This window comes from Homo sapiens, chromosome 1 (assembly GCF_000001405.40).
Source record: "Homo sapiens chromosome 1, GRCh38.p14 Primary Assembly".
In the NCBI taxonomy this organism is placed as follows: domain Eukaryota; kingdom Metazoa; phylum Chordata; class Mammalia; order Primates; family Hominidae; genus Homo; species Homo sapiens.
In genome coordinates this window covers 35810058-35833302 of record NC_000001.11, presented here as the reverse complement: position 1 = coordinate 35833302, position 23245 = coordinate 35810058, and the positions used below count along the sequence as shown (strand labels likewise).

Below are 23245 nucleotides of genomic sequence, written 5' to 3'. Positions count from 1 at the left end.
TTTATTTTTTTATTTTTATTTTTTTGAGACGCAGTCTTGCTCTGTCGCGAGGCTGGAGTGCAGTGGTGAGATCTTGGCTCACTGCAACCTCTGCCTCCTGGATTCAAGTGATTCTCCTGCCTCAGCCTCCCCAGTAGCTGGGACTACAGGCGCGTGCCACCATGCCTGGCTGATTTTTTGTATTTTAGTAGAGACGGGGTTTCACCATGTTGGCCAGGATGATCTCGATCTCCTGACCCCATGATCCACCCACCTCGGCCTCCCAAAGTGCTGGGATTACAGGTGTGAGCCACTGAGCCTGGCCACTAACTTCTTTTATATAGATAGCTGCATCTGTAAGATGCGAACCTACTTTTACCCAGAGACCTTGCAATAAAACAAGCTCATTAGTAAATTATAACGATTAAAAGTAAGCTAGTTTTTGATCTTGGCTGAAAAGATACAATTAATACCAAAGGAAGCTTCAATAAGAACTCAAGAATTTGCCAACCAACATTGTCTCCACCTTGTTACTCACAAATTTCTGCTCTACATGTAAGGAAGCTGAGTCAGATTCTTAATGTAATTCCCAAGTTTGCAAATTACTATAATACAAGGTCTTTTTCATATAGCCAGATGGTGTCACTATGGGAGTCAGGGATTTAGTGCCAGTGTACACAGCACATTCACATAAAGACAGTATTTTCATATCTGGAAGGGATATTACTAAGCTGAAAATATGAAGATACTCACTTTAGTAAATCTTCCCTACATTGTTTCTGAGGTGCAAAACAAGCAACTGCCCAAACTTTAATTTCAATGCCAGCATAAAACTGCTTTCCTCGCATGTCCCAGACACCCTGGTTGGGTGTGGCTACTGTTTTATTCTTTGAAAAAAAAAAAAAGAAGAAGAAGAAGAAGAAGAAACAAAAGAAAAGAGAAAAGACATTACAATCTAAGGCCATTTTACTATTGACTAGTGAATAAACAAAATTCTATTAGGTATGAGCCAGAACACAAAAGGCAATAATGAACAAAACTATGGGTAAATTCAGCAGTGGCAGAGTAGAGAAACCCTGGATTATTCTCTTTTTGACTGGTTGTGGAAGAAGCTTGCTGAATAAAATAAAAAGCTTACCCGGCCTCCATATTGCAGCATTGGTGCTGGAAGTACCCTGCCTGTGAGCTCTGTCATTTCATTGTGGACAACAATACCAAATTCTTTAAGGTATGGATCAGGTCCACCCACCATACTGTTGCTCTTCACCTAAAGAACAGGAAAGCCTGCATATATAAAAACCAGAGAGTAACTGTGTCCCAGGAGGAGTTTTCTATTCTTTTGTTTTTTGTCATCTCAAAGCTAGCTCATCTTGAAGACCATGCCTTACTGACCAGTCTACTGATCTCTTCCTGTCTGTCAGGAGCAGATCTTGCTGTAGCTTTGATCATTGTGGAAGTCTGATTGTCTGTGAGCTTCTTGATACATCGCTGTCCTGCCACTATATTACAGACCTGCCAAGAGACAAAGAGAAATTGGTTTGTGTAAAGGGTTCCACATCTTAAACCTTTGCCAAACCATATCTTATATCCTCTATTTCCAGAAAAATTAAAATTTGGTTATATAGTGAAATCATCTGCCAAAAATATTTTAGAAATTAACACTAAATTTCACCACTAGTTTAGAACTCTACTTAAAAATATATACTCATTCAAGAGATCAGCAAATTGGCAAAAGAAAATTTAACTTACCTCGAGTGGCAAGTATGTATGCTTTTGTTCTTGTCCCACTTGGAGACAGGGAAGATGGGGGTATTTCAGTTGCAGACTATACTTTTGCTTAAAATATTGAGCTACTGTACATTCCATAGCTTGACCGTTTTCTAGCTGCAAAGGAAAACTATAGGAGAGAATGTCTTTTTTAGAATATTTCTTCAAGTTCTTTCTTTTCTTCTTTTTCTTTTTTCTTTTTTTTTGAGACAGTGTCTCACTCTGTCGCCCAGGCTGGAGTGCATGGCGTGATCTCAACCTCCGCCTCCCGGGTTCAATGGATTCTCATGCCTCATCTTCCCAAGCAGTTGGGATTATAGGCGTGTGCCACCATGCCCAGCTAATTTTTGTATTTTTAGTAGAGACAGGGTTTCACCACGTTGGTCAGGCTGGTCTCGAACTCCTGACCTCAAGTGATCCGCCCACCTCGGCCTCCCAAAGTGCTGGGATTACAGGCGTGAGCCACTGTGACTGGCCAAATTCTTTCTTTTCTAAACAATAAACAAACAAAGCCCACTAATAATTCCTACCTTCATCAGTCACTTAAAAAAACAAAGGTCAATCTTTTTTTTTTTTTTTTTTTGTGAGACAGAGACTCACTCTGTTGCCCAGGCGGGAGTGCAGTGGCACCATCTTGGTTCACTGCAATCTCCATCTCCCGGGTTCAAGCGGTTCTCCTGCCTCAGGCTCCCGAGTAGCTGGGATTACAAGTGCGCGCCACCACCTATAATTTTTGTATTTTTAGTAGAGATGGGGTTTCACCGCATTGGCCAGGCTGATCTAGAACTCCCGACTTCAGGTGATCCACCTGCCTCATCCTCCCAAAGTGCTGGGATCACAGGTGTGAGCCACATGCCCAGCCAAAAAACAAAAGTTAATCTTTATTTGAGCATTTTCACTTAAGTAAGTTTAGTATTTAACCAGAACAATGATTCCATTGAAATTTTCCATGTTGGTTAAAGCTTGGATGAGAAATTTTTTTAAATTAAAATTTAAGAAGAATTTTAAAAAAATAACTTAAAACAAGAAGATACTGCAGAACCAGAACATACATAGACTCACTTGAGGTCAGGTAACACCTACAGGTACAAATACAACCTCTTGCTGGCTTCAAATTAACATAAAGATTTGGAGTAATCCATGTAGGTGTTTTGTTCCCTTAAGATAACTTTATGTAAAATGAGTGTAGCATAGTTATTGGGGCCACATTTTTAGATTCCCAAATTTTTAGATCCTAAAACTAGAACAAATACATGTGGATCTGGAGACAACAAGACCAAATACATGAATCTGAGACTGTGCCAGAATATTTGGCATAATTAAGATACTCTATTTGGCTTTTCCAGTGGGCAAATTATCTCAAATACTTAGTACAATAATAACTTTAATCTTGCTTTTTTTTTTTTTTTTTTTGAGACAGAGTCTCGTTCTGTCACCTAGGCTGGAGTGCAGTGGCATGATTTTGGCTTACTGAAACCTCCACCACTTGGGCTCAAGCAATTCTCCCACCTCAGCCTCCCAACTAGCTGGGACAAATGCCTGGCTAATTTTTTTGTATTTTTTATAGAGGGGTCTTGCCACATTGCCCAGGCTGGTCTCGAACTCCTGGGCTCAAGGAATCCTCTTTCCTCAGCCTCCCAAAGTGTTGGGATTACAGTTGTCAGCCACCATGCCGGGTTTTAATCTTGCATTTTTTTTTTTTTTTTTTTTTTTTTTAAGATGTAGTCTCACTCTGTTGCCCAGGCTAGAGTGCAATCTCGGCTCACTGCAACCTCTGCCTCCCGGGTTCAAGTGATTCTCCTGCCTCAGCCTCCCGAGTACCTGGGATTACAGGCGCCTGCCACCATGCCTGCCACCATGCCCAGCTAATTTTTGTATTTTTAGTAGAGACAGGGTTTCACCATGTTGGCCAGGCTGGTCTTGAACTCCTGACCTCTAGTGATCTGCCTGCCTCGGCCTCCCAAAATGCTGGGATTTAGAGGCGTGAGCCACCACGCCCAGCCCGTTAATCTTCTTTTCTTAACTGCCACAGCCTTACAAAGTAGTGGTGCAGTAAGGGTCATCTATGTGATATTTAAATATATGAGTTATAATCTTTCAGCAAAGATTATATACGTCTATAAGTCTAATTATTCTAACAGGGTTATGTGAAATAATTAAATAATGAAAAGAGCACAGTTCTTGAACAAATGCTACAATTCTCAACAGTGACTTCATAAGGTTTTGGTAACTTTTTTTTTTTTTTTTCTGAGAAAGAAGTCAATGGTATAATACAAATAATACATGAAATACCAATTTACCACTCTTAAGAAATTCATGTAGTGTGTACATGAGGTCATACTGAAGAATTTATTCCAATCAGACTGAAATAATGCACTTTATTTATCCAGAAGCCATCTGAAAATTTCAACTATCTAGACAAAGCCCTCTGGGTGATTTTGATATGCACTAAAGTTTGAAAATTAAGAATCATGAATCTAAAACAAAGTCAGATTAGAATATAAGCAAAAAAAGGTGTGTGTGTGGGGGGGGGGGCTCTGAGTAACCAAAATAATGTAAATGTAGTAAAGTGTATACTGTATATTTAACTCTTTATTTAGAAGAGCCAATATTTATGTTTATGTCAGACATGATCTTGATTACAAGAATAAGATACAGATATAATTTTTAAAGCACTTTCACATATAGTGTCTCACTGAGGCACAGTTTTCAGTAGATTAGAAGTGTTGGGTGATGGGCTGGGCGCAGTGGCTCATGCCTGTAATCCCAGCACTTTGGGAGGCCGAGGCGGGTGGATTGCCTGAGGTCAGGGGTTCAAGATCAGCCTGGCCAACATAGAGGAACCCTGTCTCTACCAAAAATACAAAAAATTAGCTGGGCATGGTGGCAGGTGCCTGTAATCCCAGCTACTTGGGAGGTTGAGGCAGGAGAATCGCTTGAACCGGGGAGGTGGAGGTTGCAGTGAGCAGAGATCACGACATTGCACTCCAACCTGGGCAACAAGAGCTAAACTCTGTCTCAAAAAAAAAAAGAAGTGTTGGGTGATTAGGAAAATGAGATTGGGGAAATGGAAAGGAGTATGCTGCTGGAGGATGCCATAGACACCAACAGCTGTAAGAAGTGACAGCTACCTACAAAGGGAGGGAGAGAAATCCACACAAAACACAAAGCAATAGATGTCTTCTCCCAGCCTGGGCAACAAAGTGGGACCCCATCTCTATTAAAAATACAAAAATTAGCCAGGCATGGTGGCACATGCCTGTAGTCCCAGATACTCAGGAGGCTGAGGTGGGAGGATTGCTTGAGCCCAGGAAGCTGAGGCTGCAGTGGGCCATGACGGTGCCAAGCACTATATATATACGTGTGTCTGTATTTTTTTTAGAAGATACATACATACATATAAAATGTCTTCTCATATATTTTATTTACATGTATGTCTTCTCCTGACAGCCTTATATGATATCTAGGCCTTAATAGACCTTTTGAGCCATGTATTAAGAATTACAACAGTAGGCTGGGTGTGCTGGTTCACACCTGTAGTCCCAGCACTTTGGGAGGCCGAGGCGGGCAAACTGTTTGAGCCCAGGAATTCAAGACCAGACTGGGCAACATAGCAAAACCCCACCTCTACAAAAAAAATTAGGCGAGTGTGGTGGTGCATGCCTGTAATCCCACTACTTGGAAGTCTGAGGTGGGAGGTTCACTTGAGCCCAGAAGGTGACAGAGTGAGACCCTGTCTCCAAAAGAAAAAAAAAAAAAAAAAAAAGAATAACAACAGTATAATAAAAAAAAGCTTATAATGACTCTGCATCATTAAATAAAAAGATTAAATAAAACATAGATTAAATAAAAGTTAATCTATGTTTAACATACTCTACTTAAGAGGTAAATTGAATTAAAGGCAAGGAATGTGTTTTATAAATACCTCTACCAAAAATATTCAGAAAATGTTTTAAAACTTTGGTGTTAAAAGCAAAGATTCTCGTGATCTTGAAAATTTCAGTATAAGATAACCAATTTCTTTCTTTTTTTCTTTTGAGATGGAGTTTCACTCTGTCACCCAGGCTGGAGTACAAGGTGTGATCTTGGCTCACTGCAAACTCTGCCTCCTGGGTTCAAGCGATTCTCCTGCCTCAACCTCCCAAGCAGCTGGGATTACAAGCGCCTGCCACTAAGCCTGGCTAATTTTTGTAGTTTTTAGTAGAGACGGGGTTTCACTATGTTGGCCAGGCTGGTCTCGAACGCCTGACTTCAAGTGATCTGCCTGGCTCGGCCTCCCAAAGTGCTGAGATAACAGGTGTGAGCCACCATGCCTGGCCAAGATAACCAATTTCTTTTTATTTATTAATTTTTTTTGAGACAGGGTCTTGCTCTGTTGCCCAGGCTGGAGTGCAGTGGTGTGACCTCGGCTCACTGTAACCTCCACCTCCCAGGTTCAAACAATTCTCTGCCTCAGCCTCCCGAGTACCTGGTGTTACAGGTACCCGCCACCACGCCCAGCTAGTTTTCTTGTATTTTTAGTAGAGATGGGGTTTCACCATCTTGGCCAGGCTGGTCTTGAACTCCTGACCTCATGATCCACCTACCTCGGCCTCTCAAAGTGCTGGGATTACAGGTGTGAGCCACTGTGCCCGGCCAATAACCAATTTCTTAAAACAATTATAGTAGCTCCCTCTGTTACTAAAAATGTAATTGTATTACTTTAGATGTGGTTAACATACGTTTGATGACTGGCTGGCCGTCTAGTCACATTACAAACTCGGTATTTTCGTTTCATCTGTCCACAGTGGGTCACCTCAACTTTGAGACCTGAAATTTTTTTTAAAAGGCAAAACATCAGTTAATTAAAATCACAGTGGCAAAAACAGATTCAAATGTTGTCTTCAAAATGTCATGACATTGTACAGGATAAAAATTGCAAGAATATGGGGACAATTTCATCGTTATAGGCAAAAAACCTGAGTTAAGCAGAATAAATTAGAACTCAGATTACCTAAGATGCTCAATCTCCTTTAGTTTATTATTTCATCCAATAAATATTTATTAAGCATCAACTATGTTCTGATGCTTATTTTCAGGTCTGGAGACAGCTTTCGTGAAGTTTATATTCTAGTGAGGGAAACTAACTAATAACAAGAAGAAAAGAAATCCCAGAAGGATAATAAATGAATTTATGTTATTTTATTAAAATGGAAGTTCTTAAGTGGGTAAGCATAGCATTTACTGAGTGCCTGATATGTGACAGGTACTATGCTAGAAAGCTTTATAAGCCTAATTGCATTTAATTCTCACAACAACTCTACAAGGTATATATTATTATCTTTACCTTAGAGATGAATACACTAAGGTTCACAGTGGTTAAGGAACTTGACCAAGGTCCCATTGATAGAAGTGGTTAGCCTGAGACCGAAGCCCAGGTCTGTGTGACTCCAGAGCACAGGCAACGTGCAGCATGCTGAGCTGCTTCTCCAAGACTACATTAATGCAAACACTTACCTCTGATTTCTTTGGTAAATTTGACACGCTGGGAGTCTGTTAGAGGTTTGGTCTGTTCATTGATGTTCTGAATGTCTAAAACCTCACACATGAACTCAATGATAGGCTGAGCCCGGTAGAAAGCAGTTGCAGATACTAACAAACAGAGAAGGATACTTCACTTCAGGGAAAAGGGAAGGGCCAAAACAAACAAACAAACAAAAACCAGCCCAAAGAGTTATTGGATAAAGAGAGTTCCATCCTACCATCAATGTTGAGCATCATATTCCACATGGCAGGTCTCACAGACTGATGAAAACCAAACCAGACCTCCCTGCCCCCTCCCAGAGGGTGGTAGTAACCTTCCGGGGGTGAGAAAAAGGAACGGCCCACTGGGGTGTACCTGAAGAAATAAGAGTTTGCATGTGTCACATTAAACATGTGAAAGGTCCTTCATTTCACTCTCAACTCTGGGAGCTGAAATCAAATTTGAACAATGACTTATGCAGAAATTTTTCAATGGCTCCAGTACAACCTACCAAAAAAGTCTGACATTTGTAGGAAATAATCCAAACCAAGGTACTAACCTCATGGAGGGAAGGTGTCTTGTGATAACATCAAGTGCTTGTACTGAGTCATCTGGGACTTCATTCAAGTGCCCAGCCAAAGCTTCTAAAAGCAACTGAAGGCTCACAACTGACACCCACTGAACAGACACTTTAAATGTTTGGTCTTTACCCTCGCCTGGAAGAGTCACCTCCATATCAACCTAAGGAAAAAAATACATGAATACAAACACAAATGTTTACAATGGCTGTGGGAAAGATCCCAAGAATATGCAGTATGATACATGCATAAGGATATTTCTTTTAACTTTTTTTTACAATTGTGTAACATTGGAAACAACTTAGTGTCCATGAGTAGGGGTATAATTTAATATGTAACATTATACAATAGTGAAAAAATAAGGTAGATGTTATAACATGGATGACGCTTGAAAACATTATGCTAAATGAAACAAGCCAGATACAAAAAGACAAATATTTCATGATTCTATTTCTATGAAGTACATTGAATAGTCAAATTTAAAGGGACAGAAAGTAGAATAGTGGTTCTCAGGGACCAGGGACAGTAGGGTATGGGGAATTATTGTTTAATAGGTACAGAGTTTTCGTTTGGAATGATGAAAAAGTTCTGAAAATGGATAGTGATGATGGATGCACAACAATGTGAACATACATAATGCCATTAAACTGTAACATAACATCATAAGTTTTTTTTGAGACAGGGTCCTGCTCTGTCATCCAAGCTGGAGTGCAGTGGTGCAATAATAACTTATTGTAGCCTCAAAGTCCTGGGCTCAAGGGATCCTCCCACTTTAGCCTCCCAAGTAGCTGGAATTACAAGTGCACACCACCATGCCTGGCTAATTAGAAATTTTTTTTTTGTAGAGATGGGTCTCCCTGTGTTGCTCAGGCTGGTCTCAAACTACTGGCCTCAAGCAATTCTCCCACCTCGATCTCCCACAGCACTGGGATTTTTGGCTGGGTGAAGCACTACACCCAGCCAAAAATAGTAAATTTTATGTTATATATTATTTTACAACAATAAAAACTTAAATTTGAAAAAAAATAATAAGGTAGATATAAATGTATAGAAATGGAAAGATCTTTCAGGCATATTGTTAAATGAAAAGCAAATCATAGAGTGACATGCAAAACAATAAGAATACACATCAACATATGTATAAATAGCAGCTAATATACATAACATATCTAAAAAGATACATACCAAACTACTATAGTAGTTTCCTTTGGAAAGGAAAATGGTAGTGAGGGTGCAGATAAGTGGTGGAGGCGGTAAATCACAGCATTTCTAGATTGTCTGGATAAATTTATTATGAGCATATGTTCACACAGTACTTTTCTAATTTAAAAAAAATAAATGTTTAAAAAAGTATTGTGCTATTATAATCTATTTTCATAAGTGAGTATTATATAGTTTTCTATAATTTATAAAACTCTGTTGTTCAGATTCAGGTAGTACTTTGTTAAAGTACATGGTTAATGTGAGAAATTACGTAAAGATGACATAATCAACCTCAATCCTAATGCTCATCTCATTTTCAATTATCAGTTAACTAAGACAAGAGAATATGGACAGAATAACAAATCTATCATCACTATAAAAAACAACTCTCGCTGGGCGTGGTGGCTCATGCCTGTAATCCCAGCACTTTGGGAGGCTGAGATGGTGGATCACCTGGGGTCAGGAGTTTGACACCAGCCTGTCCAACATGGTGAAACCCCATCTGTACTAAAAAAAAAAATAATAATAATAATAAAAATTAAGGCCAGGCGCAGTGGCTCATGCCTGTAATCCCAGCACTTTGGGAGGCTGAGGCGGGTGGATCACCTGAGGTCAGGAGTTCGAGACCAGCCTGGCCAACATATAGTGAAACCCCCATTTCTACTAATAAAATACAACAATGATCTGGGCGTGGTGGCACACGCCTATAGTCCCAGATACTTGGGAAGCTGAGGCCGGAGAATCGCTTGAACCCAGGAAGTGGAAGTTGCACTGCGCCGAGATCGCGCCACTGCACTCCAGCCTGGGCAACAGAGCAAGGCTCCGTCTCTCAAGGAAAAAAATAAAATAAAAATTAGCCAGGTGTGGTGGCACATGCCTGTAATCCCAGCTACTTGGAAGGCTGGGGCAGGAGAATCACTTGAATCTGGGAGGCAGAGGTTTCAGTGAGTGGAGACCAAACCACTGCATTCCAGCCTGGGTGACAGAGCGAGATCCCATCTCAAAAAAAAAAAAAAAAAATTTCTAAGAATTGATGTGTTATTACAGAAACTTTTGTTTCTGCTCACATACAGATTTTTTAAAATTGATATATGACAGTTGTACATACTTTTGGGGTACATGTGATATTTTGATATCTGTATGCAATGTGTAATAATGAAATCAGGTTAATTAGGATATCATCACCTCAAACATTTATGTTTTTTGTGTGTGTTGGGAAGAAAAGGAAATATTTTTGTCATGTATAATTACTACTAAATGAACTAAGTATTTCTTGCTCTTAACACTTACCCTATCCCGTCCAATTGGTAGTGGATGTGCTGTGTACATGTTTCTTTTGCCATCATACCCAGGCTGCCGATCACCAAATATTTGCATCTTGAAGTGCCGCACCATTGTATCTACTACCTCCCTTCACAGTAATGGAGATAATGGCAGTTAGCTTTCAGAAATGGTGAACAGTAAGAAAAGCATCATCATACTTTAATCATTTAAATTCGGTTCAGTATTACTTGGAAAAAGTAAGAGTTAAGGTTACAATTGATTCGAGTACTTTAAAAAATAGTTAACTAAAGAAAGGTAGCAACAAGTGTACAAAAACAACTGTAAGATGATATCAGAAATGGGGAATAAAAGAGAGAATAACATTTATGGTATCCTCTCAACCTCCTCTTTCCAAAATCCTCTCCTGTGATAAACACAGCCTTATAAGAATAACCTGGCTGGGTGTGGTGGCTCACGGCTGTAATCCCAGCACTTTGGGAGGCTGAGGTGGGTGGATCACTTGAGGTCAGGAGTTCGAGACCAGCCTGACCAACACAGTGAAACCCTGTCTCTACTAAAAATACAAAATTAGCCGGCATGGTGGCACGTGCCTGTAATCCCAGCTACTCAGGAGGCTGAGGCAGGTGAATCGCTTGAACCTGGGAAGCGGAGGTTGTGGTGAACCAAGATCGTGCCATTGCACTCCATCCTGGGCAACAAGAGTGAAATTCTGTCTCAAGAAAAAAAAGAATAACCTATCTTGGATATCTAAGTTTGACACGGAGGTACATCACTGAACGATGATAAGTTTGTCATCAAATCAATATCCTGGCTGGGCGTGGTGGCTCATGCCTGCAATTCCAGCACTTTGGGAGGCCGAGGCAGGTGGATCACTTGAGGTCAGGAGTTCGAGACTAGCCTGGCCAACACAGTGAAACCCAGTCTCAACTAAAAAAAATAGAAAACTTAGTCAGGCATGGTGTAATCCCGGGTACTTGGGGGGCTGAGGCACGAGAATCGCTTGAACCCAGGAGGCAGGGGTTGCAGTGAGCTGAGATCGTTCCACTGTACTCCAGCCTGGGCAACAGAGTAAAACTCTGTCAAAAAAAAAAAAAATCCTTATTCAAGTATATTGGTTTTGAGAAAGAGAATCAGCAGGAATTTAAAAATCTGAGGATCAGTAAATCTAAGATCCATGATACACAAATAAGTCAACCCCTTTGCCTAATGCCAGTGATTTATTATTCTGTATACCGTCTTGTCTTATTCCAAAGTGCTTGTCTTATTTCAAAGTGCTTATTCCAAGCAGTGTAGACAAGGGAATGTTGTAAAATATTCTCTTTCCAAAAAGATTATTAATATAGCTTCTTTGTTTTTAGAATAAAAGTCTTTTTCTCAATCAAGCATGCAGAACTTTACTTAAGTGTTCTTGCATATATGCCAGATCACACTGTATGCAGGCCGTGGAATAAATGCAGTGGCAAAAAAACTGGTGTATAGAGTTTAAGATATGGACAGACCAGGGTTTGTGAGATTTTTGAATGCTAGAGTCAATGAAAAGTTAGGTGCTTTAACTTAGCAACGTTTGTGAGTTTCATGTGTGGGAACAATATCTTAAAAGCCAAAATACATCACAACTAGCTAACACATTTATATTACTACAAATGAAATCTGTGGGAAAGTCATGTTTACAAACCAAATCATGTGACTGAAAAAAATTGATGGAGAGACGTGGTATCGTACAATCTCCATTTTAAAGAGCTAACTTAAGAACTATACGTTTTCATACTAGAAAAGAGTAATTTCTCATCTTACATTCTTAAATTCTGACCAAAAAGTTTTAGAGTAAAGAGCTACTTTCACCTCTATTCTCATTTAATCTTCACAGCAACCTCGTAAAACAAATAGGAAAATGATTATGGTCCTCATATTAAAGAAAAGAAAAAAGAAAAATTCAGAATGGGCAAGTGGCTTGTCCCTGATCACACAATGATTAAGTGGCAGAACTGCATGACCTTGGACAAGTTACTTAATCTTTCACTTGTCTGTTTCTTCATATGTAAAGTTATGATAATAATAATAATAATACTTCCCTTGAAAAGTGGTTGTCTTAATTGAGCAAACACACAGAGTATTTATTTATTTATACAGTGTTAGGTAAAATACATAGAGTATTTAGAATGGTGCTTGTCCCACAATAAGCCTTTGTACTCTGATCTGCTCATGGATATCATTCCAAGAATTGTCTTCTCTCCTAAATCATGAAATTTTTCCTTTTTACTGGATTATTCCCTTCAGCATACAAATATGCTCTAATTTCTCTCATCCTAAAAAAAAAAATCAAACTTTCTTGGGCCAGGCGGGGTGGCTCATGCTTATAATCCCAGCACTTTGAGGGGCAGAGGCAGGCAGATCACTTGAGGTCAGGAGTTTGAGACAAGCCTGACCAACATGGTGAAACCTCGTCTCTACTAAAAATAAAAAATTAGCCAGGTGTGGTGGTGCATGCCTGTAATCCCAGCTACTCGGGAGGCTGAGGCAAGGGAATCAGTTGAACCCCAGAAGTGGAGGTTTCAGTGAGCCAAGATCGCACCACTGCACTCCAACCTGGGTGACAGAGTGAGACTCCATCTTAAAAAAAAATACATAAATAAAAAATTAAACTTTCTTAATCTCAGTTTCTCCCCGTCTGAACATTCTATTTCTGTGCTCCCTTTTGTATCAAAATCCCTTGAAGGAGTTGTCTGTAATTCCTCTTCCCCTTTCTCCCTTGAACTTTCTCAAGTAAGGCTTTTTCTCTACCAAACTACTGTTATCGACGTCCTCCAGTGGGCTCCATATAGCTAAATTCAATGCTCCTTGAACATTAGATAATCCATCCTTCCAACTTAAAACATCTTCTTCCTTTGCCTCCAGAGCACCACTCCCTTGGTTTTCTCCTATCCCAGTGGTCTCTCCATGCCAATCTTCCTGCTGATACTTCCTCATCGCCTTTAATCTTTCAGTTAAATCTTTAAATATTGGAGTGCTTCAAGACCCAGTGTAGGAGCCTTATTTTCTCCACACACACTCACTTTCAACATAATCTCATCCAGTCTCATGGCTTTATCATCAATAAGCTCATGATTCTCAAATGTTTGTCTCCAGCCTCGAACTGTTCCCTGAATCCAACCTTAATACTGTATTCAACCTCCTTTTTTTTTTTTTTTTAAGACTCAGAGTCTCACTCTGTCACCTGGGCTGGAGTGCAGTGGTGCTATTTTTTTTTTTTTTTTTTGAGACAGAGTCTCACTCTGTCGAATAGGCTGACGTGCAGTAGCACGATCTCAGCTCACTGCAACCTCCGTCTCCCGGGTTCAAGTGATTCTTCTGCCTCAGCCTCCCGAGTAGCTGGGACTACAGGCACACACCACCATACCATGACCAGCTAATTTTTGTATCATTAGTAGAGACAGGGTTTCACCATATTAGCCAGGCTGGTCTCAATCTTCTGACCTCGTGATCCACCCACCTCGGCCTCCCAAAGTGCTCACATCCAAAGATGTGAGCCACCGCGCGCGGCCTTTTGTTTTTTTTAATATAGACAGAGTCTAGCCATGTTGCCTAAGCTTGCTGCAAACTCCTGGCTTCAAGCAATCCTCCCACCTCAGCCTCCTAAAGTGCTGGGATTACAGGTACGAGCTACCACAGCCGATCTCCACTAGCATGTCTAATAGTCATCTCAACCCTGATGTCCAAAACGCACAGGTCTCCTGATCTGCTACTCCCTGCTTCTGCTTCTCTTGCAGTTTTCCCCATCTGATAAATGACAACTCCTTTTTTTCCAGTAGCTCAGGACATAAACCCTGGAATTGATCATGACTAATTTCTTTCTTTCACACCACATGTTCAATCCATCAGTAAATCTTATTGACAGTAGTATGAAAATATTTGCAGGATCTGACCACTTCTCATCACTATCAATTATACTACTCAAGTCTAAACCACCATTACTTTTCACCTGAATCATTCCAAGTGCCTCTTAATTAATTTCCATGCTTTTCACCCTTACCTGCTAGGGTCTAATTTCAGCACAGCATCCAGGGCAATCCATTAAAAATATAAGTTTGTCATGTCTTAGATTTATTTAGTCACGTTGTGGGTTTAGTATTTAAAACTCACCTAACCAGAATAAATGACAAAGTGTTATGAATGCCTACAAGTTCTGCATGATAGAGGCCTTCTGAAATTTCTCCAACCTCATCTCCTATCACTCTCCCCCACTCACTCACTCCAGCAATCCAGAATTATCTGCTGTTTGTTTCTTTCCTTCCTTCCTTCCTTCCTTCCTTCCTTCCTTCCTTTCTTCCTTTCTTTCTTTCTTTCTTTCTTTCTTTCTTTCTTTTTGAGACAGAGTCTCCCTCTGTTGCCCAGGCTGGAATGCAGCGGCATGATCTCCACTCACTGCAACCTCCGTCTCCCAGATTCAAGTGATTCTCCTGCCTCAGCCTCCCAAGTAGCTGGGATTACAGGCACGTGCCACTATGCCCAGCTAATTTTTGTATTTTTAATAGAGACAGGGTTTCACCATGTTGGCCAGGCTGGTCTCGAACTCCTGACCTCAAGTGATCTGCCCGCCTCAGCCTCCCAAAGTGCTGGGATTACAGGCATGAGCCATCACGCCCGGCCTGCTGTTTCTTGAACTCACCAAGCTTCTGACTTTGCCTGGGACACTCTTCATGCAGATATCCCTCACCTCCTCTAGGTCAAATATCACTTTTCAGTGAGACTTTCTCTAGGTATTTGCATACGTATATACATATACATACGTGTGTGTATATCTACATATGCATGTATATGTATATATAAACATATATATTCATTCATATATAAATCTCAGTGCTCATCCTATCCCCATTTCCTATCTTCCATCTCTATTTTCTTTTTCTTTATTGCATTTATTACCAACTAATAAAATACATGTTTTGTTTGCTTCTTCATTTATTGTTGGTCTTCCCCATTAGAATATACGCTCCTCAAAGGTAGAAACTTTTGCCTGTTTTGTTCATGGTGAATTCCCAGAGCACAGGGCAATACCTGGCACAAAATAAACATTCAATAAAATATTCGTTGGATGGATCAATGTTATCCATTACCACCACTTCTACTACTATTGATCTCAGTTACACAATAGCCAATAATGGGTTTACAAGAGAATGAACTACACCAGAAAGCCAAATTTTGATCCATAATGAGAAAAATATCAAGCGGCACAAAATATTTAACTTGACAGCAAAGAGCAATCTTAAAAAAGCAAGAATCTTAATATCAAATATTGCCTGAATGTCACTGCATAGAAACAGAGAAAACAAAAGTGGATGTATACTCAGCACACTGTAAGAATATTTGCTACAGGGCTGTCTTCACACCAGGTAAATTCCTGCTATACAGACCACAATACTTACATCATCTCATCAGGACCACTCTTAGATAATGCTAGAAATAACTAGAGCTTCTCTCTGTGCTTAGTTTTCTCAGTACTCCAAGATGACTTTTCTTTCTTTTCCCCCAAGAAAAAATCTGCAAGTAATCTTCTGTATTGATATATATATATATATACATCTTTCTCATGTCCAAAACCAACATATAATAATAAAAATTGAATTTCCAGATAGTTCTATTTCCCACAGACACTAATGTCTTCACCTATTTTAGTAAATTTTTGCTACCCTTGGTCAATGAAAGAGCGACCTTTCTTTTCCATAATTAAATAAGTGTTTACTGATTGACTAATAATATATCCAGCACTTTGCTAGAGCCTACAGAGGATAACCAAGCATGAGACAGCAAACCTGCTATTAAGAAACCTATCATCTTAGAGAATAACAAAGCCTACATGTTGGATGAATTTAGAGAACAATATGATACATAAATAAATTATATGCACTTAAATATACAGAAATCCACTGTTTCTAATCCTTACCTGTTGACTCTACGAGGCCGTTTTTCAGGCTTAATATCCACATCATAGTGATACACATCTATTTTAGGAATCTGAACCTGAAAATGATTGGCTAACAGTCGAATTGGTTTTCCAACAGTTCCAAGGCCAGGACGACGAGGTGGCTGAAACAGGCTAGCCGGAGGTCCTAAAGAGATTGAAAGACATTTGCTGTGCTATTTTTTTTTTCTTTTTCTTTCTTTCTTTCTTTTTTTTTTTTTTTTTTTTTTTGAGACAGAGTTTCGCTCTTTCACCCAGGGTGGAGTGCAGTGGCTTGATCTTGGCTCACTGCAACCTCTGCCTTCCAGTTCCAAGCGATTCTCCTGCCTCAGCCTCTCCAGTAGCTGGGATTACAGGAGCCTGCCACCAGGCCTGGCTAATTTTTGTATTTTTAGTAGAGACAGGGTTTCACCACATTGGCCAGGCTGGTCTAGAACTCCTGACCTCGTGATCCACCTGCCTCAGCCTCCCAAAGTGCTGGGATTACAGGCGTGAGCCACCGCACCTGGCCTGCTGTGCTATTTATTCTTCTTCTTCTTGATGATGATGATGATGGCTACAGTTATTGAGATCTTATTATTCACTGTATGTACTCTAATATAAAGAATCTGGGGTGTCTTTCGACCTAAGGTTCTCTAGATTTCTAAATATTTTGCCAAGTTGCTATTATTTTTAACATAAGGACATCAAAATTAGAATGATGAATTCCTCTCAAGTATAGGCTACAGTATAAAATCTTGCATGAGCATTAGTAAAGCTCTATAGCTAGACTTACAAAATTATATGCATTTTAAAAACTATCTCTAAACTCTGGAGCCACCATCCCCAGAGTTGGAAATGACCTACTAATCTCTCACAAATTAGCCTGCATCATTATAAATTGTACATATAGGAGAAGATTAAACCACAGCTCTATTTATCAATTTATTTGCTAATTTCGATAGTGAAACAATACCAATAAAGCTAGACCTTCTCGTTTATAACTTGATATTTTTAGAACCTGGACAATCTGAGATTTCTTGCTCATAAGATCTAGTTTATTCCACAGACATTTATTCATTTATTCAGTTATAACATGCCTAACCTGTACTATGGACTCAGAATGAAGACAGAGCCCCTTCTTTCAAAGAATGTACAGTCTAGACCAGTGGTTCTCAACCCGGGGCAAATTTGTTCCCCAGGAAACATTTGGCAAATATATGGACACATTTTTGGTTGTCACAACCTGAGAAGTGCTGCTGGCATCTAGTGGAAAGGACCCAGGATACAGCTACGCATTCTACAATGCATAAGATAGCCCCCCACAACAAAGAATTACCCAGTCCAAAATATCAATAGTGCTGAGAAAGAGGTTGAGAAACCCTGATGTAGATAGAGTAATATTTCCAAACTATTTCAAAAAAGAAAAGATTCTATAAGTTAAAGAAACCTTGCATACTCTCTCCCCTCTTAAAATTTCAATGCATATTATCATATTAAATTATCTAAAAAGTCATGTAATAAATAAACCTAGTTAACTTTACCTCATCATTTAGCTAACTGTTTTTTTTCCCCACAGAACTCTCTCTCTCTCTCTAAGATTTGAACATCTATTAATACTCAGCAGAAAAAGATCTTGTGGAGCACAGTCTGGGAGACACTCGTTTAGAGAAAATCTTACTCCTTTTTGATGACAATATCAAGTGGATACTGGCCTAAAAAATGAACATCTTTTCTGCTATGAATAGGCACTGAGCAAAGTGGGCTGTGGTTACAATGGAAAGTTACAACAGGTTCTGTTACTGCAATGGCATTTCACTGAGAACAAAGACTTCACTAAGGAGAGAAAACTTGGAAGCAAGAAGTTGTTCTGGGCCAGGCGTGGTGGCTCACACCTGTAATCCCAGCACTTCGGGAGGCCAAGGCAGGCAGATGACCTGAGGTCAGCAGTTTGAGACCAGCCTGGCCAGCATAGTAAAACCCCGTCTCTACTAAAAATACAAAAATTAGCCGGGCACGGTGGTGGATGCCTGTAATCCCAGCTACTCAGGAGGCTGAGGCAGGAGAATCGCTTGAACCCGGGAGGCAGAGGTTGCAGTGAGCTGAGATTGTGTCACTGCACTCCAGCCTGGGCGACAGAGGGAGACTCAGTCTAAAACAACAACAAAAAGAAGTTGTTCTGTTCCAACATCACTTAGGAAAATTAGAGCAAATACTTTATGATATTTATGGTTACAGATCACCATATTCTAACACTTAAAGTATTAAAAATCATTTTACATATTAATTATTCATTTTCCCACTATATTCTACTTATCCTTCAGAATTAGGTTTAGATGTAACCTCCTTGGAAAGCCTTTCCTGATTCTCCCAGACTAGAGGATCCGTCCTCTGTGTTCAAAAGACTCTCTCTATAGGGGAACCCATAGAGCAAGTATAAGAAACCACTTGTTAAGTTACTCTGTCTCCTTCACTAGATTGCAAACTCTTATAAACACCGCATGTTCTCACTCATAGATGGGAATTGAACAATGAGAACACTTGGACACAGGAAGGGGAACATCACACACTGGGGCCTGTTGTGGGGTAGGGGGAGGGGGGAGGGATAGCATTAGGAGATATACCTAATGTAAATGATGAGTTAATGGGTGCAGCACACCAACACGGCACATGTATACATATGTAACAAACCTGCACATTCTGCATATGTATCCTAAAGTATAATAAAAAAAATTTAAAAAAAAGAAATGAACCTCCTATTAATCTTCTCAATATCTAATGCAACAGCCATCATGTTATAAGAATTCAATAAATGTTGAACTGAACAGTATCAATAATCCCAGATAGAATCTAAACACAAAAATCATAATTATCTTTCTTTCTCTCTCCTTCCTTCCCTTCTGTCCTTCCTTCTTTCCTTCCTTCCTTCCTTTTTTCTCTCTCTCTTCTTTCTCTTTCTCTCTCTTTTTTTTTTTTGAGATGGAGTCTCACACTGTTGCCCAGGCTGGAGGGCAGTGGTGCGATCTCGGCTTACTGCAACCTCCGCCTCCCGGGTTCAAGAGATTCTCCTGCCTCAGCCTCCCAAGTAGCTGGAATTACAGGCACCCGCCACCATGCCCAGCTAATTTTTTGTATTTTTAGTAGAGACGGGGTTTCACTACATTGGCCAGGCTGGTCTCAAACTCCTGACCTTGTGATCCGCCCACCTTGCCCTCCCAAAGTGTCTCTCTTCTTCTTCCTTCTTCCTTCCTTCTTCCTTCTTCCTCTTCCTCTTCTTCTTCTTCTTCTTTTTTTCTTTTTTTGAGCCAGGGTCTTGCTCTGTTGCCCAGGCTGGAGTGCAGTGGGTCAATCATGGCTCACTGCAGCCTCGACCTCCTGGACTCAACTGATCCTCCCACCTCAGCCTCCAGAGTAACTGAGATACCACCCCAGCTAATTTTTGTATTTTTGGTAGAGACGAGGTTTGGGGTTTTGCCATGTTGCCTAGGCTGGTCTTGAACTCCTGGGGTCAAGCAATCTGCCCACCTAGGCCTCCCAAAGTGCTGGGATTACAGTCATGAGCCACCACGCCCAGCTGACAATTATTTTTCAATGAAGCAAAAGCACATAATTTATACTAAAAGTATTCTTTTTTTTTTTTTTGAGATGGAGTCTCGCTCTGTCACCCAGGCTGGAGTGCAGTGGCACAATCTTGGCTCACTGCAAGCTCTGCCTCCCGGGTTCACGCCATTCTCCTGCCTCAGCCTCCCCAGCAGCTGGGACTACAGGCGCATGCTGCCATGCCCGGCTAATTTTTTGTATTTTTAGTAGAGACAGGATTTCACCATCTTAGCCAGGATGGTCTTGATCTCCTGACCTTGTGATCTGCCTGCCTTGGCCTCCCAAAGTGCTGGGATTACAGGCGTGAGCCACTGCGCCCGGCCCACTAAAAGTATTCTTATTGCTTGGAGTTGAGTTCTACTTCTAGTGTACAAGAGGACCTATCAATACAATTGATAAGACAATTACAAACAAGGTAACAAGGTAAGAAGTAAATAGTAAATAATGTGAGAGGTGATAAACATACTGAATTAACCCAATTAAATCATAAAAATAAGTCAACTCTGCATATTTCAAGATACACTTAAGCAATCACTGTATCATTCATAAAGTTGTAAGAGGCCAGGCACAGTGGCTCATGCCTGTAATCCCAGCACTTTGGAAGGCTGAAGCGGGCAGATCACCTGAGGTCAGAAGTTTGAGACCAGCCTGGCAAACATGGCAAAACACCGTCTCTACTAAAAATACAAAAATTAGCTAGGTGTGGTGGTGGGCACCTGTAATCCCAGCTACTCGGGAGACTGAGGCAGGGGAATAGCTTGAACCTGGGAGGTGCAGGTTGCAGTGAGCCGAGATCATGCCACTGCAATCCAGCAAGGGTGACAGAATGAGACTTGTCTTAAAAAAAAAGAAAAAAAATGTTGTAAGAAATATAGCTTTATAATAGAAATTTGAAAACAGAAACTTGGATCAAATGACTTGCTTAAGGACATACGACTTTGAGTTTAAATACTAACTAGAATCCAAATCTCCTAACTCCTAGCCTAGCACTTTTTCTTCCCAATATACTTCATAATCTTGTGATATGTATTATTATCTGAAGTACTTGAATGTCAAAGAGGCAGAGGCAGAAGAATTGAAAGAAAAACGATTAAGAAGTGGCAAAAAGTAAATATTATTTGTATCTCCTTTCCTTGGCAAAGAGAAAAGTTAGATGGTGAGTGATAATTTCTTTTAATAAGCTTAGAAGATTTAGTTTGAAAATTATAACTTTTTTCATTCTGGAAGTTAATTTTTTTTTTCTTTTTTCTTTTTTTTTTAATTTGGGCTAAACAACAGAAATTTATTTGTACAGCTCTGAAGGCTGGGAAAAATCTGGTTTCTTTGAATTTAGCCAGCTATCTACTTAATGAAGCAATAAAGCACAGTGGCTAAAGCTCTGGAACCAAATTACCTAGGTTTAAATCCTGGTCTCACCACTCCCTAATTGCATGACGTTGGGCCAGTTTCTTGGCCTCTCTGCATCTCGGTTTCCTCATTTATAAAATGGGCATGTGTGTAATAATAATGGCATCTATCCCATGAGATGATGTATATTCAAGGTTTAACATAAAGGCTGGGTGCAGTGGCTCATGTCTGTAATTCCAGTACTTTGGGAGGCCGGGGCGGGTGGATCACAAGGTCAGGAGTTCAAGACCAGCCTGGCCAAGATGGTGAAACCCCGTCTCTACTAAAAATACAAAAATTAGCCAGGCGTGGTGGGTGCCTGTAATCCCAGCTACTCGGGAGGCTGAGGCAGAGAACTGCTTGAACCCGGGAGGTGGAGGCTGCAGTGAGCCGAGATGGCGCCACTGCACTCCAGCCTGGGCGACACAGCGAGACTCTGTCTCAAAAAACAACAACAACAAAAAACGTTTAACATAGTGCCTTGCAATAGTAAACGCTCAGTAAATGTTAGCTATTATAATTGCATTTGTAAACGTTATAATCATAGTTAGTGCTCAAAGGTCCCTGAGGTGGTTGGTTTTTGTTTTTTTTTTTGTTTTTTTTTGGATGGAGTCTTGCTCTGTCACCCAGGCTGGAGTGCAGTGGCGCAATCTCGGCTCACTGCAACTTCCGCCTCCTGTGTTCAAGCGATTCTCCTGCAGCAGCCTCAGACTACAGGAGCACACCACCACACCCATCTAATTTTTATATTTTTAGTAGAGACGGGTTTCACTACGTTGGCCAGGCTGGTCTTGAACTCCTAACCTCAGGTGATCCGCCCACCTCGGCCTCCCAGAGTGCTGGGATTTCAGGCGTGAGCCACTGTGCCCAGCCCCTGAGGTGTTTTTTTGTTGTGGTTTGGTTGGTTTTTTTTTGTTGTTTTGTTTTGTTTTGAGGCAGGGTTTCTTTTTGAGGTGCGATCTCAGCTCGCAGCATCCTCTGCCTCGCAGGCTCAAGCCATCCTCCCACTTCAGCCACCAGAGTAGCTAGGGCTACAGGTATGCCACCACACCCAGCTAATTTTTATATTTTTAGCCAGCTAATTTTTATATTTTTAGTAGAGACGGAGTTTCACCATGCTGGCCAGGCTGGTCTCGAACTCCTGGCCGCAAATGATCCGCCCACCTCAACCTCCCAAAGTGCTGGGATTACAGGCATGAACCACCACAGTTTTATTTTCAGGGTATCCCAAAAATGTGGTGACAAAGTCAGATAACTGCATTCTCTGAAAGGGCAACTGATATGACAACATAGAACAGATGAAGTCAGCCTTAATGAAGAGGAGATGATTAGATTAGAAGTCAAATGACCCAAACTCAGGTCTTTATTTCACCACTTGACCCTTTGAAACCCTAATGAAGTCACTTCATCCTCTCTGAACCTCACTTTTCTCATCTGTAAAATGGAATAACTACCTGCCCTGCCTACCTCCCAGAGGATCAAATGAGCTAATAGTCATAAAAGCACTTTACAAACTATAAAGTACTGCAAACAACATATTACCAAAATAAGTGGAAATCTAATTAATTATATTTCTGAGTATTGGCAGAAACTGAACTAGGTTGCAGGGAGGCGGTGGGCAGGGAGGGATAGAACAAGACTAGAAGGCTTCAGGGACTGTTCAAGTGAGGAGGGCACAAAGCACTAGATCCAGGTGTGCTCTGCCAAAGAAGCAGGGATGATTCTCTAGGTTCTAAAACAGCCTGGATGAATCATCCCACAAGACGATCAACTCCCTTTGCTCTGATTCTATGCTTAGCAGGCAGCTACTTATTAGTTGGGTTTCCAAGGTACTGCAACACCAAAAAAGGAGTTTGCTAGAGAGCAGACAGGAAAATATTCCACTCAACAGAAAAGATCCATGTGACATTTTGGCTTATTCATTAGTGTCTTATAAATGTGGTTAGTGAGAATTAATTTTCCACAATCTGAACAATCCTGAGTGAACCACTAAGTCCTCAAACCTGC

General features: G+C 40.5%; 1 protein-coding gene across 12 annotated transcripts in view; it reads right to left on the bottom strand.

Moving 5' to 3' along the window:
• Nucleotides 1-23245, bottom strand: part of AGO4 (argonaute RISC component 4) — a 50255-nt gene that overhangs the window by 24588 nt on the left and 2422 nt on the right. For 7 of the 12 annotated variants that reach the window (NR_146062.2, XR_246244.4, XR_246243.4 and 4 more), the window contains exons 2-11: nt 16256-16421; nt 10321-10441; nt 7809-7990; nt 7488-7624; nt 7243-7377; nt 6468-6555; nt 1729-1876; nt 1372-1491; nt 1118-1246; nt 733-866 (exon numbers count right to left, since the gene is read on the bottom strand). Coding sequence is in view for 7 of the 12 variants with exons in the window: in NM_017629.4 (NP_060099.2) it covers nt 733-866; nt 1118-1246; nt 1372-1491; nt 1729-1876; nt 6468-6555; nt 7243-7377; nt 7488-7624; nt 7809-7990; nt 10321-10441; nt 16256-16421 (1360 nt within the window). In the remaining 5 variants the exon portion in view is untranslated. Of the gene's footprint in view, nt 1-732; nt 867-1117; nt 1264-1371; nt 1492-1728; nt 1877-6467; nt 6556-7242; nt 7378-7487; nt 7699-7808; nt 7991-10320; nt 10447-16255; nt 16422-23245 lie in introns of those variants that run through there. The other 5 variants (XM_005270579.4, XM_047448151.1, XM_047448156.1 and 2 more) reach the window with 5 other exon arrangements.